General features: G+C 38.2%; 2 long non-coding RNA genes across 2 annotated transcripts in view; one reads left to right on the forward strand and one right to left on the reverse strand.

Moving 5' to 3' along the window:
- The window catches only part of LINC00508 (long intergenic non-protein coding RNA 508), a 99903-nt gene that overhangs the window by 14777 nt on the left and 65742 nt on the right, over positions 1–19384 (reverse strand). The gene's annotated exons all lie outside the window — the stretch shown is intronic.
- LINC00507 (long intergenic non-protein coding RNA 507) overlaps positions 16645–19384 on the forward strand; it is a 36143-nt gene continuing 33403 nt past the window's right edge. The window contains exon 1 of the long non-coding RNA NR_046392.1: positions 16645–16917. This is a non-coding gene — a long non-coding RNA (long intergenic non-protein coding RNA 507). The remainder of the gene's footprint in view (positions 16918–19384) is intronic.

Genomic DNA, 19384 nt, shown 5'->3' on the forward strand with positions numbered 1-19384 from the left:
GAAGAAGCTCCGTCCGGCCTGCTCATTGGGAGGAGTGCGCGCTGGGGTGCGGCCTCGGGAAATTCGCGTCATTTGCAGGAAGGAGGAGCCTGGCCTCTCCTGTTCTGGGGTGGAACTGGGGATTCCATCTGGGAGGCAGGCAACCGGCTAGCAGGACTCTCGCTTTGCTGAGAGTCCCTGTTTTCCTTTTTTATTTTTTCTTTTCGCCCAGTGAATTTTATTTTTCTCACCCTTCAAGGTGTCTGCGAGCCTCATCTTTCACGGCCGTTTGACAAGAACCCGGCTTTTAGCGGAACCAAAAAGAAAGCCCTACAACAAATGGGGTCACTGTTACAGAGAGATGCTCTTAGATGCCATGCATTTAATGAGCAAGATGTTTAGTCTTGTGTAGGTTGGTCCACCCATGCATTTCCCAGAACCCCTAAAGGGGCTTATGGGTGTCACCTTAATCACCTTAAATTTCTCTGAGACGCCTTGAGATTTTACATCCCAGGGCCAGTTTTTCTCTGGGTCCAGGGGATCAACAGCCCCTTTATGCCTTGGGATGGGATTTCACAATATCCCCTTAGGTCCACCTCCCTGTGAATCTGTGAAGTGAGTGTGTGTTACCAAATCTGTAACATAACCTATGTGAGGTTCAGCTCATATCCAGCCAGGAAACCTGTTTACATTTACAATGATAGAAAATAGCATCAGCATAAATAGCCAACAATAGATTAAATAAGAACTTTTTTTTTTTAGATGGAGTTTCACTCTTGTTGCCCAGGCTGGAGTGCAGTGGCACGATCTCAGCTCACCGCAACCTCTGTCTTTCGGGTTCAAGCGATTCTCCTGCCTCAGCCTCTCGAGTAGCTGGGATTACAGGCATGCACCACCATGCCTGGCTAATTTTGTATTTTTAGTAGAAATGGGGTTTTACCATGTTGGCCAGGCTGGTCTCGAACTCCTGACCTCAAGTGATCCACCCGCCTCAGCCTCCCAAAGTGCTGGGATTACAGGCATGAGCCACCACTCCCTGCACATCCAATAGTTTATTATACAGTTATTAAAACCAAGTTCATTTAATTCATTCACTTAACAAATATTTTTTGTGCCCTGTTCCCAGATTCCCAAGCTGGCCCTGGAAGATAATGGTTTAAGAAAATGCCTGCCTCGCCTCTGAGTAACTGATACTTGCTTTCCAGTGGGAAAGGTGGATAATAAACAAGTCAATAAGCTAAATAATTACAAACTATAGCAACTCTATAAAGAAAAGGGAGCTGTGATAAGAAATAGAAAAGAGAAAGCCTATTTTCCACAGGGGTCATCAGGGAAGGTCTCTCAGAGGAGGCACTGACTCTGAGACTTAAAAAAAAAGGAGGAACCAGCCATGCATAGCACAAGAAAGTCCTCGTGCACGCAGGGAACCAACAAGTTCCTGTGTGGCGGGCATGTCGTGAGTAACAGGAAAACAGTACGAGATGGAACTGAGGTGGGGGCAAGGAAGAAGTAGTCTTCCTGGTTCCTTTCCACCTCAGTAAGGAAGCATGATTTATGTTTGTTTATTTTCATGAGAATGTATCACTGAAGAATAAGTAAAGAAAAATATATTACATGCATGCAAAAAAATACATTCTCATTCATGGATAGAAAGAAATGTTGGAAAGGAATACTTCAAATATTCAAGAATGTAATGGGTTTATGAGTGATCTTTTTGTGACTTCTTTTGGCCTATCTACAAGGGACATATGTAAAAAGAAAAAGACCCATAGTTTAAACACAATGACACTGTAGAAAACTTAACGGATGCCTGCGTGTAATATGGTTGGCAAACACAGATGACTCGGCATGTGAAGCACAGGCAAATCCTAATGGGGGCTGCTCACCCTCCAGAGAAGCGGACCTGTCATTGCTGCTCTCCCATTAAGATGTGAGGTCATGTGCACAGATCCTCAAAGACGACTCTTTAATGGGATGTGGGCACCATGATATATAATACTCCTATTTTCATATTGTGGCTCATATGCCATTTGAAAGCTGGCAGAAATAAACCCTTGAGAACTGAAATGGCATCTCCCTAGACCCCAGAAATATTGTCACAGGAAATATTTGGATTGTGTTAATCACTATTGAATTCCCCATTCCCTGTCTTCCAGTCAGCCCTTGTTTAAAGCTTATTTTCTGTGCCAATCAAAGATTTCTTTCAGATAATCACAAAAACTCTTCTTTGGGAACTAACAAATGTACTCCTTGGGTTTCACTGTCTACACCTCCAGGTGAATGCTGGAAGACATGATGTTTATCCTAATGCTACTCACTTTACAGCTGTACTCAGATAAATGTGAATTTGGTTTCAATCTTCAAATACATCGTCTGAGATGAGTTGTGTAGACCACTGCTCCATGATTACATTCAGGGAGATTCAGAGGTTCGTGATTGTGTCTAAGCCAAAAATGGTGGCAGTATATGATACGAAATGAAAGTGAGTAAAAGATTACATAACGGAAAATATGAAAAGTGAATTGCTCCAGGGTTTGCAGCCAACCAAATCTCCCAACAAGAGAAACTAAAAGCATATAGCCAAAATATTTTTAAGCTTTTTTTTTTTTTTTTTTTTTTTTGAAAGAGCCTCGCTCTGTTGCCAGGCTGGAGTGCAATGGTGTGGTCTCAGCTCACTGCAACCTCTGCCTCCTGGGTTCAGGCAATTCTCCTGCCTCAGCCTCTCGAGTAGCTGGGACTACAGGCACACACCACCATACCCAGCTAGTTTTTGTATTTTTAGTAGAGACAGGGTTTCACCATGTTGGCCAGAATGGTCTCTATCTCCTGACCTTGTGATTCGCCTGCCTCGGCCTCCCAAAGTGCTAGGATTACAGGCGTGAGCCGACGCGCCTGGCCTAAGCTACCTTTTTCAAGACATTGGAGAGCCCTAAGGGTAGGAGACCATGAGCGACAAAGACCTCGGTATAAAGGAGCCCGGTTGGTGTCAGCTACTGTTTTGCACAACCTTTATCCATTAGGCACTTACCAGCTTAAGTGTGATGGGATGGGGGACTGTGAATCTCAGTAGAAATCCTAGCATAAAACAGAAGCAAGGTAGCATTCTCAGCAGCCTCTCAAGGACAAGGAAATAAAAATTGGAGTTCACGGTCATCAAGGTAGCTAGAACTTTAAAGACTAAGATCTCAGAGAAATGGGAAAAACAGAAATGAACTCAGAGATTCTTCTCAACTCAAGGCATTTGAGAATGCCTTATTTGCACAGTGAAAGAAGCAAAGAACCTGCAGAGAAACCTCATTAAAAGACTGAAAAGCTAAACATAGCTTTCAGCAGTCTCGTAGTTTCGGGGAGATGAAAATTACAGTTAATCGTTGTCTTGATTTATGACAAGAGTGACACCATAGTACAGTGGCGGAAAGAATCATTCTTTGGATGTATGGTGCTAGATCAAATGAATATTCATGCAGACAAAAAATGATTCTTGAGACTTATCTAAAAGTTATACACAAAACTCTAAATTGCCTGCACTTCTATAAGTTACAGATATAATGATAATCCTTCTAGAAAGGAGTATAGGAGAATCTCTTTATGACACTGGGTCAGGAAAATATTTTCTCATTAGTTCATGGAAAGTAAAAACCTTAAAGGAAAAAATAAATTTAGCTACATTAAATTGGAGAGTTTTACTTAACAAACAAACACCAATAATTAGCTTGACTATGGTCATTTCACAACGCACATGAATATCAAAATATCACACTGCACACATAAAAAATATCAGTTTTTGTTTGTCGATAATACCTCAATATAACTGTTGGAACAAAAATACCAGTAGGAAAAGGCAAGCTGTAGAAACACTATAAATATATTTTTTAAAAAGAGGAGATTCAACAGAAATGCTGGGAAATTTTGGAACAAGCATTTCCTACAAAGAAAAAAAAACACATCCAAATGATCACTGAAAGTCAGTATAGCAGTTAGTTAATTCTGGGTGTGGTGGTGACTTACAGGGTTGAAAAGGGGTCTTTCTTGGGGGCCAGTAGTATAGTAAGACTTAATTTTGATGGTGGTTATACAAGCATGTTAACTGTAAAAAAATTGTTGAGTTCTACACCTATGATTTGTGCCTTTTTCTTTATATCAACTGTATATATAATTCCATTTAAAATCATTTATTTAAATTTTACTATACAAAAGAGTAGGAACACTTCCACTTTCAATCAGTATGGAGTAATGAGAGCAGGTTTTACCCTCCCACCTGATACAGACAAAAAAAAAAAGCCTAGAAATAAAAATATTTAAAACAATAGATTTTAAGACATTGGACATTAGCCAACAAGGAACGCTGATCCCTGAGGGATGGAAGACAAACTAGATGGATACTACAATGCTTCTAGTTCACGACCTCAAGAGAGTATTCTTGTGGTACAGGGAAAAAGAAAGCTCTTTGATTTGAGGACTCTGAGAGACCAGCAGACCAGAATCAAGAGGACATCATACTGAAGAAGAGAGAGAGCAGCACTCTCTTGAGAGAGAGAAAGAACTCCCACATTCTTCAGGGGAGCCTCAATCAACATGAAACAGAATTCCGGTCATCAGAGGAATGTGAAGAACTCCCTGAAGCCAGAGGAAAGAAATATTTGAAATAATTTGTGATAACCGTATTCAGGGCCAAGTGTAGTTGTTGTTCTCGCCAGCAAGAACAGAAAGCCTCATGCTTCATGGAGTATTACACAGAGTGCAGAATGGATCTCACTCAAGAAGGGACGAATCATTAGACCTACAATGAGCACTGTTCAAGTTGCAACGAAAACGTTGTAAAAGTAAGTTCTAAAACTGACAAACCATTTTCATAAAATATAATGGCATCCCAGAACAAAAGCCAGGATTATTTCTAGTAATGCCAAAAAACAAAAACAAAAAACCCTCACCCAACTAGGTAAACTGTACAGTGTCTGGCATCTGATCCAGATTTATTAGGCATGGAAATAAGCACACAAATATGACCATAATAAAGAGGAAAACCAATCAGTCAGAAACAAAAGAGAACTGACACAGACGTTAGAATTATTAGACAAGTACATGAATGAAGTTGTTATAACTGCATTTCATATGTTCCACGAGGTAAATAAAGCTATTTCCTCTCTTTCTTTCTCTCCCTCACATAAACACTGACACGCTCACACACATACAGATAGAAATGCTCCTCAACTTACTACAGAGTTATGTCCAGATAAACTCAACATAAGTTATAAGTAAAAAATGCATTTAATACACCCAGTCTACGGAACATCATAGCTTAGGTTAGTCTACTTCATACATACACATAACACTTACTTTAGCCTTCAGTTGGGCAAGATTATCTCACACAAAGCCTATCTTATAATATAGTGTTCAATATCTCATGTAATTTATTGAATACCACACTGAAAGTGGAAAACTGTATTGTATGAGTATTCAAAGTATGATTTCTACTGCATAAATATTGCTTTTGCACCATAGTTCAGTTAAAAAAATCCTAAGTTGAAACATTGTAAGTCCGAAACTATCTGCGTAAGTACGTGCATTTGTATATACTTCCATGCATATATGTCAAAATCTACATATCTACATATGTGATGAATAGATACAAGTGTTTTAACATGTAGAAAATCGTATCTCTCCCAATTAAAACTTCTAGAGATAAAAACCACAATGTCTGAGATGGAAAATACCCTGGGGAGGAATAACAACAGACTAAGCATCACAGAATAAGAACTGTGAACATAAAACTGTAACAGTAGAATGAAATTATCCAAAATGAAACAAAGAAAAGAGAAAACAGAAAAATGAGAAGAGCATCAGTGAGCTGCACAACAATCCCAGTCACCTAATATTTGAGTAACTGAAGTTCCAAAAGGAGAAGATGAAGAGGGGGTGACAGAAAAAAATAGATTTGATATAGTGACTAAATTTTTTTTCACCTAGTTTTATCAAAACTAGAGATCCAAGAGGCTCCATGAACCCAACCCAAAGCACAAGAAGCAGGAAGAAAAATACACAAAAGCACATCATAATCAAATCAGACAAACCCAGGGATAAAATATTAACAGCAGTCAGAGAAAAGAAGTATTTGATACAGAGTAACAAAATAATGATGAGAACCATTTCTTGTCAGAAACAAGACAAGCAAGAGGAGAGTCGGACAGCATATTTTAAAAACTGAAAAAAAATGGTTTGTGTATTAGACAATTGTCTATCCGCAGAAAAATATTTTAAAAGTAAAGGCAAAATAAAGATTTCTTTACACAAAAGATCGATAAAAGAATTTATCAGCAACAGACCCACACTACAAGGAATATTAATAGAACTCCTTTAGGCAAAAATAAAATGATTTCAGAAGGAAAAATGGATGTCCACAAAGAAATAAACAATACTAGAAATGATAATTTCATGGATAAGTACCTAAAATTTTTTTCTCATTTCTCATTATAAATCTCTTTAAAAGATAATTGACTATTGCAACAAATACAAAAACAATGTAATGTGAGTTTTATGTAAAAGTATGGCAACAATTGCAAAAGGTTTAGGGGAAGAAATAGAAGTACACTATTTTAGTTTCTTATACTTAAGCAAAGTAGTATAAATCACTTTAAAGTATACTGTGATTGTCCTTTGCCACACCTATAACTGTAGATCATCATATTAAGTGAAATAACTCAGAAATGGAGAGTCAAATACGGCATGTTCTCATTTACAGGTGGGAGCTAAAAAATGTGTGCACATGGACATACAGAGTGAAAAAATGGACACTGGGGAATCCAAAGGGAAGGGAGGCTGGGAGGGGAATGAGGGATGAGAAATTACTTAATGGGTATAATGTGCACTATTCAAGTAATGGCTACACTAAAAGCCCACACTTTGCCACACTGGGCAATATACCTATGTAACAAAACTGCACTTATACCGCTTAAATCTATTGAAAAAAACTACACTGTGATAAGTTACAGTTGTGTAATTTAAACTCTTAAGAATGCATCAAAATAACAAAACAAAGATTTAATCAGCAAACATAGAATATAAAATGAGATCATAAAAATATTCAATTAATCCAAAAGAAGGCAGAAGAGGAAAAGAGGAAGAAAGAACATTTGAGGAAACTATAATATAAATAGTAAGATGATAGATTTAATTCTAAACATATCAGTAATTATATTACATGTAAATGTAAAAATACTCCCACTAAAAAGGCAGATATTTTTATTTTGAATATAAAGGAAGGCTCAACTATGAAACCCACTTTAGTATAAAGAAACATATAGGTTAACATTAAAATAATGGAAAAAATTCCTGCTAACACTGAACCAAGGAAAAGTAAAATTGATACATTAATATCTCATGAAGTAAATTTTACAGCAAAGAATATCATCACAGATAAAAAAGTTTATTTCAAAATGATAAAATAGTCAATGCATTGAGAGGCTATAATAACCTTCAATATTTACGCTCCTATTAACAGAACTTGAAAATATATGAAGCAAAAGCTGATAGAACTACTAGAAGTAGACAAAACCACAATTATAATCAGAGATTTCAGTATTCCTCCCCAAAATTGATAGGCCTAATGGAAAAATCTGTGAGAATATAATATACTTGAACAACACTAACAATGAACCTGACCTAATTGAGCTTCATAGAATAGTCCACTAAAGAAGAGCGGAATACACAGTTTTTTCAACTGTACATTGAATAATCATCAAGTTAAACCACATCCTGTGCAACCTAGAACTTCAAGTAATATATATATATATATATATATAATCTGTGACCTTGGGGAAAAAAAAACAAGTTTCAGTCAATATAAAAGCATTTCAGTAATACAAAATATATGTTGTGACCACACAGGAATTAAAAATTGTAATCAATAATAGAGAGATTTCCGTAAAATTTTCAAATTTTTCAGAAATTAAATATGCAGTTTTAGATTTCTATGGGTCAAAGAAGACATTAAAAGGAAAATCAGGAAGAATTTTGAAATGAATGAAAATCTTAACACAATATCAAAATCTGCAGGATGTCAATGACCCAGAATTTGGGAGGGGGAAGTTTAAATGCCTGTATCAGAAAAGAAGAAAAGCCCTTCGATGACTTCAGCTTCCATCTTAAGAAACTAGAAAAAACAGATAAAACTCAAAGGAAGCAGAAGAAAGAATATGGTTTTTAAAAGAGCTCAGAGTAGATGTCAATGAAATGGAAAATAGAAAAAAAAAAGAGGGAAATTAATCTGAAAGCTTGTTTTTAAAGCATATAAAAAGCATTGATAAATACCTTTCACACTGATCAAGAAAAAAAGGCACACAAATTCATAATACCAGGGAGCAGAGAGATGGCATCACTACACATTCTAAAGACGCTAAAATGCTGCTAACAATATTACGAACAGTTATGTAGCAGTAAATTTGAAAACATACATAGAAAAAAAAATCTTGAAAAACAAAACTATTGAAGCTCAAGTTAAGAACAAAGAGCTAACTTCCACAGCCCTATATCTAATAAGGAAATTTGCATTATTAGTTTAAAAAGTTCTTTAAAGAAAATTCCAGTTCCAAATGGTTTAACCGTTGAATTCTACCAAATATTTAAGAAAGACACAATACTAATTTTACAAATTTACTTTAAAACATTGAAAAAAGAAACTATGAGGCCAACATGGCCAGAATACAAAAAACCAGACAAAACTTTACAAGAAAATAAACCTAAGGACTGATATCCTTCATGAACATAAACATAACAATTCTAAATAAAATTTTAGCAAACTGAATCTAACAGTGTAAAAAAATCATAATACCTCCAGATCCAGTGTTGCTCATCTTAGGATTGCCTAGTTGGTTTAAAATTTATATATTCATCAATTATTTACTTCATATTAACAAACTTAAAATGCAAAGTCATAAGATAATCTCACTAGATGTTAAAAAGCATTTGGCAAAATTCAGCATTCATTCCTGATTAAAATATAAATAAATAAACTTCTAACCAAACTAATCATCAAGGAAGATCCTTGCAATCTGTAAGAGGCATCTACTGAAAAACCAGTAGTTGGCATCATTCTTACTGGCAAAGTCTGAATGCTTTCCCCATGAAATCAAGGACAAGACAAAAATGCCTGTTTAGATCCCTTGTATTCAATATTGTACTGGAAGTTCTAGCCAGTGCAATAAGGCAATTAAAAGAAATAAAAGGCACCCAGATGGAATGGGATTAGGAAAACTGCCTTTATTTATACACCATATAGAGAGTGGAAAAACTCCATGTAGGAAACCCAATCAACTCTATCATAAACCTACTGGAACTGCTTAAAACACTGGCAGGGTCCAAGCACAAGATTCAGCAAAATCAAACTACAAAAATCCTTTCAAAGAACAATCAGACATCCAAATTGAAATTCAAAGATGCTACATACTTCCAAAGAACAGTCAGACTTCCAAATTGAAATTCCATTTATAATGCATCAAAAATATAAAATACTTAGGGATAAATAATAAAAATGGGAAAGACCTACATTGAAAACTGTAAGATTTTGCTGGGAAAACTATAAACAAAGAGATCTATCATGTTCGTAGATGAGAACTCTCAAAATTGTTAACATGTTGATTTTTCCCAAATCAATTTATGATTCAATGAAATCCCAATCAAAATCCATGAAGATACTTTAAATAGAAATTGACAAACTGATTTTAAAATTTATATGGAAAGGCAAAAGACCTAGAATAGCCACAACAATGTTGAAAAAAAAAGAACAAAATTAGCACTAATCAAAATCATAACATGCTTTTTATATAAAACACAACTAAAGAGAATAAAAATGCAAGCCACAGACTGGGTGAAAACATTTGCAATCATAAATTTGACAAGAAGTTTGTATCTAGAATATAAAGAATTCTCAAAGTTCAAGAAGAAAAAAAATGACATGAGTGAAAAATGGGAGGAAAATTTGAACAGGTGCTTCAGCAACATAGATATATGGAAAGCAGGCACACAAATAGGTATTCTGCACCATTAACCATTAGAAAAATAAGAGATTACTACATATAGAGATTACTACACATCTATTTAAATAGCTAAATTAAAAAGACAAATGGGGTCGGGCACAGTGTCTCACGCCTGTAATCCCGACACTTTGGGAGGCCGAGGCAGGTGGATCACCTAAGGTTGGGAGTTCGAGACCAGCCTGGCCAACATGGCGAAACCCTGTCTCTACTAAAAATACAAAAATTAGCAGGGCATTGTGGTGGGCGCCTGCAATCCCAGCTACTCGGGAAGCTGAGACAGGAGAAGTGCTTGAATCCAGGAGGCGGAAGTTGCAGTGAGCCTAGATCATGCCACTCTACTTCACCCTGGGCCATAGAGTGAGACTCCATCTCAAAAATAAATAAATAAATAAAAAGACTAATGTCAGGAATGTGAAAGAAATACTCCACAATGACTTTGGAATGCAAGTACTTTGGCAATTTCTTCGAGTTAAACATATGCCTAACATATGATCCAACCATCCTAGGCATTTGCCCAAAATAAATGAAAAGGTATATCCACAGAAGCCAGCACATGGATTTTCACTGCAGCCTTATTTGTGGATAGCCCCAAATTGGAAGCCAGCCAAGTGTCCCTTAACAGGTTAATGGATGCACAGAGAGTGGTATCTTCATACAAGGAATACTAATCAACAATAAACAAAATATTATTCAATATTTTAATATTGAATAACATTTTATTAAATATTAGGAATAAAATGGATGAAGTATAAAATAGCCACGCTGAGTAAAAGAATCCAGGCTGGGTGCAGTGGTTCACCCCTGTAATCCCAGTACTTTGGGAAGTCAAGGCAGGAGGATGGCTTGAGGCTAGGAGTTTGAGACCAGCCTCAGCAACATAGTGAGACTCTGTCTCTACAAAAAAATTTAAAATTAGCCGGCTGTGGTGGCACACACCTGCAATCCAAGCTACTCGGGAGGCTGAGGTGGGTGGATCACTTGAGCCCAGGAGTTCAAGACTGCAGTGAGCTGTGATCGCACCACTGCACTCCAGCCTGGGCAACACAGCAAGATCCTGTCTAAAAAAAAAAAATCCAGACCAAAAAAATAGTACGCATTCTATGATTTCTTTAAATGAAGTTTGAGAAAAATGCAACCTCATTTATAGTCACAGGAGGCAGAGAAGGGGTTGTCTGAGGAGGGTGGTATGGAGGGGTGTGAGGGAGGGATTACAAATCAAGGTGAAAAATCTCTCTGACCCCGTCTCTACTAAAAATACAAAAATTAGCCAGACGTGGTGGCACATGCCTGTAATCTCAGCTACTAGGGAGGCCGAGGCAGGTGAATCGCTTGAACCCAGGAAGCGGAGGTTGCCATGAGCCGAGATCGCACCATTGTACCCCAGCCTGGGCAACAAGAGAAAAACTCCGTCTCAAAAAACAAAAATCTTTCTGAGAAGATGGATGGGCTCATTGTCTTGATTGAAGGGAGTTTTTCACAGGTGCATACATATAGCAAAACTTAGGAAACTGCACACTTTCAATGTGCACAGTTTAGTGTATGTTAATTATACTTCAATAAAGCTGCTAAAAAATACTTGTCCACAATTTATTTGCCACTTTTTCTGTTAACAAACAAACAAACAAACAAACAAACAAACAAACCAGATGTAACAGAAAAGTATTTGCAAATAGTTGTGAGTCACCAATGTTGTGGTTCCCCAAACTTTGGAAATCTTCTTTTATATTTCTTTTGTTGGTGGGAGAGGAAGCTTATTTGTTTCCTTCCTGGGCCCTGGAATTAAAATATGTTGTTGTCTGTGGAAGATACATGAACTCATTACTACCAAATTTAGCAGCCATCATCAATAACATCTCTGAAATCACAGTTTTCTGTGCTAATTGTATGATCTTCAATACTCATTAAAATAAATTTCTATTTTTTCACAGTCTACTCTATTTCCTAAAAATCATCTTTGTATTACCAGTTTGATGTTCTTTGTGGAACACAGTCAGAGCTTAATGTCCATAGTGAAGTGCCTGTCTCCATCTCATTTACCTTCCTCTCTTACCTCACACTTGCTGTATTTTCTCTAAATATGGTGGTAATTTCAAAAAACATGGGTTTGCTTCTTAATTTTCACTTCTTAATATTCCAGTGGATGGCCAGACGTGGTGGCTCAAGCCTGTAATCCCAACACTTTGGGAGGCTGAGGCAGGCGGATCATCTGAGGTCATGAGTTCAAGACCAGCCTGGCCAACATGGTGAAACCCTGTCTACACTAAAAATACAAAAATTAGCCAGGCATGGTGGTGAGCACATGTAATCTCAGCTACTAGGGAGGCTGAGGCAGGAGTATCACTTGAACCTGGGAGGCAGAGGTTGCAATGAACTGAGACCAAGACATGGCACGCCAGCCTGGGCAAAAGAGTGAAGCTCCGCCTCAAAAAAAAAAAAAAAAATTCCAGTGGAGATTGCACCTGATTGTTTATTAAGCCTTAATGTTACCTCTGTGCTTCTAAAACTCTATCTAAGGATGATCTAGGCTGCCTTGCTAGTAGAGTCCTAATTTTTGTCTCCAAGTGAACGTCAGGTGCATGAGGTTTAAAAGGTAAAAAGCAGGGAAGGCATTGGTCTCCAGTGGCAGGTGCAGAAACGCATGTGGGCCTTGGTGGATGGTGAGCACGAAGCGGTGCCAGTTTCCTGACTTCCTCCTGGGCATCAGCCACTTGGGTGCCAACATAATTTGCAAGATTTATAGCAGCCTTTCTGACTTTGCCGGCTCAGTCCTTCCTTTGCTGAGTCAACCTTTAATTCTCTACATGAAACAATCCCTGCTAAAAGCATCTAGTGACTTCAGATTTATTGTCTAAATCAGTTAGTGTTTTCATATTTGGTTGGTTGGTTTTGTCTTTTAAGCTACTAAACTTTGTGGAATCTCTTAAATGGTGGTAAAATATACATAACATAAAAATTTACGCTCTTAATCATTGGTAGGTGTGCAGCACATTCGCACTGTTGTGCAATTGATCTTCAGAACTATTTTCACCTTTTGGCAAAACCAAACGCTATTCCTATTTCCCCTGCCCCCAGCAAGCACCATTCTCCTTTTTGTCTCTATGGATTTGACCATTGCAGGTACCTGGTATAAGAAGAATTCTACAGTATTTGTCTTTTGTGAATGGTGTATTTCACTTAGCATGATATTTGAACCAGTTGTATTTTGTCATATTTAATATATGGAACCTTGGCCTGAGGAATAAAGCAAGTGTTTGATTTTGGATATAAAATAGATTCCTTTCCTAGAATTCTAAGTAGTTCTACCCATGCAAAAAAAATTCACATGCTTTGTTTCTTACTTCTTTTGCAGTTTTCTACTACCCTGATAGACAGTGCATCCAAGTGGCTGACGATAGCTAAGGATAATATGCCAGAGAACCTCTGCCTACTGGCAAGCCCCAGAAGACCTCTCCTTGTTGTGTTAAGTCACTGAAATCAGACACTCTCACCCACGCTGAGTGTTATCTAGACATAATTTCTCTCTAAATTCTATTACTGGCCTTTGGCTGCCGACAAATAAGTTAATTCACATCCACGTCAATAACTCAGTCACACTAAAATTGAATCAATGAGTGTAATGAGGACTCCAAGTATGCTGTAATTTGGCAACGATGGTACTCATAGTGAGGTGATGAGATTAATCACTGGGTGTCATAAATGAAATGTGCTGGTTCATGAAGAATCCAGCACAATTTCCCTGGCTGGGATGAGGGTTGGCAGTCGTGGGTTTTCTTGGACAGCGTCGGGCCCATACACTCTGAGGGGAGCCTGAGTGCGCTACCGTGAAAAGATGCGAGTGCAAAGAATGTTTTCCATCACCTGGAGATTCAGGGTCAAAAGAGTCAGTGTTCTGTTTTGGCTGCCCAGGTTTTGGGGGGATGCTAAATGTCTTTACGAGCCTAGGAAACCTGTGGTCCCCCACCTATCCAGAACAATGGAGGAAAATTCGAAATGAAAATACCTCGTGCAAACCTGAAAGCTCATCCATGAAAAACTAACAACTTGTTCTGCACGTGAATCTTCTGAGTTTGGTTTTCTGGTTTACAAAACCACAGCAGATCAGAAATAGCAAATTACAAAATGAAACAGAGCAAAGTATACAGGAAATGACAATGGGCAATAAGAAAACTCTGGAAAATAATGCAAATACAGCAGGCACGGGACCTCCAAGAACATCTCCGTTTGGGCCATTAAATGTAGGAGCAAATAGCTCTACAGGATGCAGCAGGTCTTACGTGTATCTACAAATTTCATCACACTGTCAAGAAACATGTTCATAATTACAATGTTCAGATGCCCTGAGGAGACTGATAATCCTTGTAGTTGATGGAGTCAAGGAATACAGTAATATGTCTAAGCACAGTTCTATCTCCCTCACATATTAGTGGTCTCATACGTGGTTTTGTTTTGTTTTTTTGGAGACAGAGTCTCACTCTGTCGCCCAGACTGGAGTGCAGTGGTGTGATCTCTGCTCACTGCAAGCTCCACCTCCTGGGTTCACACCATTCTCCTGCCTCAGCCTCCCAAGTAGCTGGGACTACAGGCGCCCGCCACCGTGCCCAGCTAATTTTTTGTATTTTCAGTAGAGATGGGGTTTCACCGTGTTAGCCAGGATGGTCTCAATCTCCTGACCTCGTGATCCCCCCGCCTCGGCCTCCCAGAGTGCTAGGATTACAGGCGTGAGCCACAGTGCCCGGCCGATACATGGTTCTTAATATGTAACAGGCATTGTTATCTAGCATTTGACGGTGCTCATTTCAGACAAAGAAAATGAGGCTCAGAGAAATTAAGTAACTTTCTTAAATCACAGAGCCACTAAGTAATGAAGTGTGAATTCAAACCCCAGCAGCCGAGCCCCAGCCCTGCTTTTAAGTACCACAACACATAGCTCACTTGTGACACTTGCAGATAGCCAAAAGCTTTATTCTATTGGAAACATATCCTACTGCCCTCTAGAATAAAATTATTGGAAATATGTGATATATCTTTAAAAGGAAACTAACTAATGTAACTCTTTGGAGCCTGGGGGAGCCTGTGCTGTTCTCATTAAGCATGGTTATTAGTGAGTTGATTTCAAAGTTTATTAAATGAGTAAGTGTGGGAAACAAATTAGGAAAGAAACTATTCAGAGGAATAAAAATGACAGAAACACAAGTTTTAAAGTTATAATGTCCTCATGTTACAAAGCATGCGTCTGTGTGCTGATACAGGCCCATATATATTGAATTCCTACAGACTGATGGTTTTGCAAGCACATTAGATCTCTTTTGGAAAGAATAAACACACATATTTGATAAAGAAGTTTGGTAGTAGGAAAATAGATTGGGCTGTTGAGTGCAGGTGATTGTCATGTTCTGTGGTATAAAGATAACCAGCTATGGAGTAAAGGGCTGGATTTGATTGCTGTCTCTACTATTTGTAAGCTCTTTGACCTTGTGCAAGTTAACTCCTTGTATCTTTCATTTTCTTATCTGCAAGACTGGGAAAATAGCAATATGTGCTTGCCAAGTTGTGAGGGAGGATTAAATGCATTAGTCTTCATGTATTTCTTAAGACATGGTACTAGATCAGGGGTTCACCAGCTCTTTTCTGTAAAAGGTGAGACTTTGAAATATTTTCAACATTGTTGGCTACCAGGACAGAACTGCAGCCACTGAGTTACTGAATTCTTTTCTTTTCATGGGAAAATAGCCATACAAAATGCAGAAATGAACGGGCACAGTTGTGTTAACAATGAATCTTCATTTACAAAAACAAGCAGTGGGGCAGATTTGACCTCAGGATTGTGGTTTGCTGACTGCTTCACAAGATAAATGTGGGTTATATCATCAAAGGATTTCGATGAGAAGTTAGTGGCATACTATACGAGAAGTGTGTGGTACAGTATCTTGCCTGTGAAAGGTGTTCAGCGAATGATAGTTATGATGATAAGGCAGATATTTTATATGTAACCTAGAAAATTACATACGGCTTTCAGATCTTCAGACCCTCTGTTCTTCCTTCTTAATTTTCATCAAGGAAGGTTAAGAAGTAAGGTTAACTTAGCTAAGAAGCAACTACGTGCAGGAATAAAGGTAAGGAAAATGACAGAATTTGGTTACAGTTCCAAGATTCCTAGTTCAAAATAGAATAGGAAGAAAGGCTGATTTTCTCCTGATGTGGCCTTCCCTGACCTTGCAGTATCTCCGCAGAAGGCTGTAGACTCTTTCTCCTTTAGAAAACATTAAAGGTGACTACCTTACATTAGTAACAGGTGTATTAATGGGGGTGCTGATGGCAGGCAGGGAACAGGCTGAATGACATGAATTCTTCCCTTCATAAATGGGCATCTTTCCATGAAAACACAATATCATTTGTTGAATGTCAAGTAGACTAGAATTTCAGACCTGGAAACATTTGCCTTGAAGCATCAAAATAATTGAATACTGTAATGGCTCAGCACCTGGCTTAAAGTTATAATACCAGGATTTACATTATTCTTAGCCACAGGCATATTTTCCACCAGCTTTTAACAACCCACCACCTCCTTTTCCCCTTCCCTCCCACACAATAACTGGGATGACTTGTCTAGATCTTAGGCAACAATTCTCTTAGCACATCAGCTCCTGGAAACAAATGCACTTAACCAGAAAAACAGGGACATCAACCAGCAAAGATGCATCCTCATTTAATAGAGCTTGAAATTACTATAATCTGTAAAGTACAGCGAGAAGAAGAAGTTTCACCTGCCTGCACATCTGTCGTTGACTCTCCATCTGACTTGGAGGGACTCTGAGGGACCAACCTGAGCCTGAGAAGAGGCAAGATTCCCCTTCAAGGACACACTGGGAACTTACGGACCTCTTTCTCCATGGTGCAGAGCGCAGAGGTAATTACATAATTGTCTGTTCAATTACTTTACTCAAGAGTCACAATCTCAAATTCCATAAGCCACTAGAGAAATGGCATCAATGAATGAAGCAGGTCATTTTAGGGACTTCAGTTAACGGAAAGGGGTGTGTCCCAACAAAGACTCATACAGTCAACTGTCTCCATGCTGGCATGCCCCACTGTTAATTGATTTCCCACATTTTCAAGGCAGCAGGAAATGTCATTTTTAATACTTTTATTTTTGGCTTTACAGAATTACTGCAAAGATAGTACAGAGTTCCTGTAAACCCAATGGGGATACCCAGTGCCCCTATTATTGACATCTTACATTAGTATGGTATATTATTATTATATATTAGTATAGTATTATACATTAGTATAGTGTTATACATATGCATAGTATGTGTGACATACATTATTCATTACTATGCGTGTTACTAATAATTATTATATATTAGTATGTATAATAATACATACTAATAATACATATTGTATAGTATTATACATTGGTATTAGTAGTAGCAATAATTACTATATGTTAGTATGGTATATTATTAGTATGGTGTATTTGTTATTATTAACTAAAGCTCATATTTTAACCAAAAGTATAAATGGTAAATGTTCTGGTATTTAAATATTGATCACTGTGATAGGCAGAATAATTGATTCCCTCAAAGATGCCCCCAATACATAAGCAGAATAATTGTTCTCCAAACATTTCGAAGATGTTCTAATCTTTGGAACCTATGAATAGGCTACCTTACGTGGCAAAAGAGACTGTGAAGATGTGACTGAGATGAGCGTTAATCTAATGGAGAGACTGGGAGCTTGTCCTGGACTATCCTGGCAGACCCATTGGAATCACACATATCCTTATTAGAAGGAGGAAGGAGGGTCAGAGTGAGAGGATCTGTGATAAAGGCAGCAGAGATAGGAGTGATGTGGACATGAGCAAAGGAACACTGGAAGCTTCTGGACGTGGAAAACGGCCAGGAGATAGATTCTACCTGAGAGCCTCAGAAGAAATTGAGACTTGAAGACACCTTTAAGGGATAATGATGTTGATGATTCTTTTGTTAGTCCAAAATTATCTTTGTTCAGATTTCAATTCATGAGGTACATATCCCAGGGGCCCAACCCACACAAAAGAAAAGCTTCATAGTTAAAGTCTTATTAAGAGAAATCAAAATAGGCCAGTGAGGATTTTTCTTTAAACTCTTGAAATTGAAAAGACTGACAATGCACTCTGAAATGGTGCTCTCTCTGCTTGCATAATTTTCAAAAGCATAGTCACCCCATCCGCAGTGATACTTCACCTGCAAATCCAGTAAGACCCATTTTAGATTTCTGAACTGGAGGGTAATACATGTGTGTTGTTGTAAGACTATGCTAGTGGTAATTTGTTGCAGCAGCAAAAGGAGCTAATACAGGTTATCAACTCAATGAGAAAGAAATAATCTGTTCCATCAAACACAGACTCATCTTCTAGGCCCCCACTGTGCAGAGGGCGCATGTACGCTGTGTGACATTAGTCTCAAAGGGGATTGAGACTGTGCCCCCTCTGCATCTCAGACCTTAAAACAGCACCTGACACAGAGAGAAGACTCATTATATATGGATTAAAGTAATGCTTTTTAGCCCTTGGAAAACTGCTACATCAATGGTTGTCTTTGTACAAGGAATGATGTGCATTCTTTATTCTTCTTCGGCAAGAAGTGTGAGAAATATCAACTCTATTTATCTCTGTCCACTTAGGGCTCCTGAAGTACTCATCCTTATTTCCAAGCAACTTTAAATATGTCTTTGGTTTCTTATTATGGAACAAAATGAGATACATACTTAACGGTTTGCAGATGAAGTATCATTGCAGATGGGGTGACTATGCTTTTGAAAATTATGCAAGCAGAGACAGCACCATTTCAGAGTGCATTGTCAGTCTTTCACTTTCAAGGGTCTAAAGAAAAAAATCTCATTGGCCTATTTTGATTTCTCTTAATAAGACTTTAATTGTGAAGCTTTTCTTTTGTTTGGGTTGGGCCCCTGGGATACGTGCCTCATGAATTGAAATCTGAACAAAGATAATGTTGGGCTAACAAGAGAATCATCATTATTCTTTAAAACTCTGCAAAGGCCAGTGCGTTTGCACCATTAGACTTCAGTTTTCCTTTGCAAAGAGAAATCAAAGGCGATGTGAGAAGACCACATGCGCGCGCGCGCACACACACACACACACACACACACACACACATAAAGCACAGAAATGGGAATCTCAGAATCAATACATTATTTTTTTCCAGAGAGGTTCTGATAGGAGAAAGGGCTTTTCTGCATCTCTTTCCCTACATCTTGCCCCTCCTGCCTGCCCTTGTCCTTTCCCCCTGCGCAAACACACTGTAGGCCTAGCCATTGGACACCACTGCCTGTGTTTTCCCTGTTTCCTCTTTGACACCTGAACCCTGGCAAGG

The sequence above is a fragment of the Homo sapiens genome, chromosome 12, assembly GCF_000001405.40.
Source record: "Homo sapiens chromosome 12, GRCh38.p14 Primary Assembly".
Taxonomy (NCBI): Eukaryota; Metazoa; Chordata; class Mammalia; order Primates; family Hominidae; genus Homo; species Homo sapiens.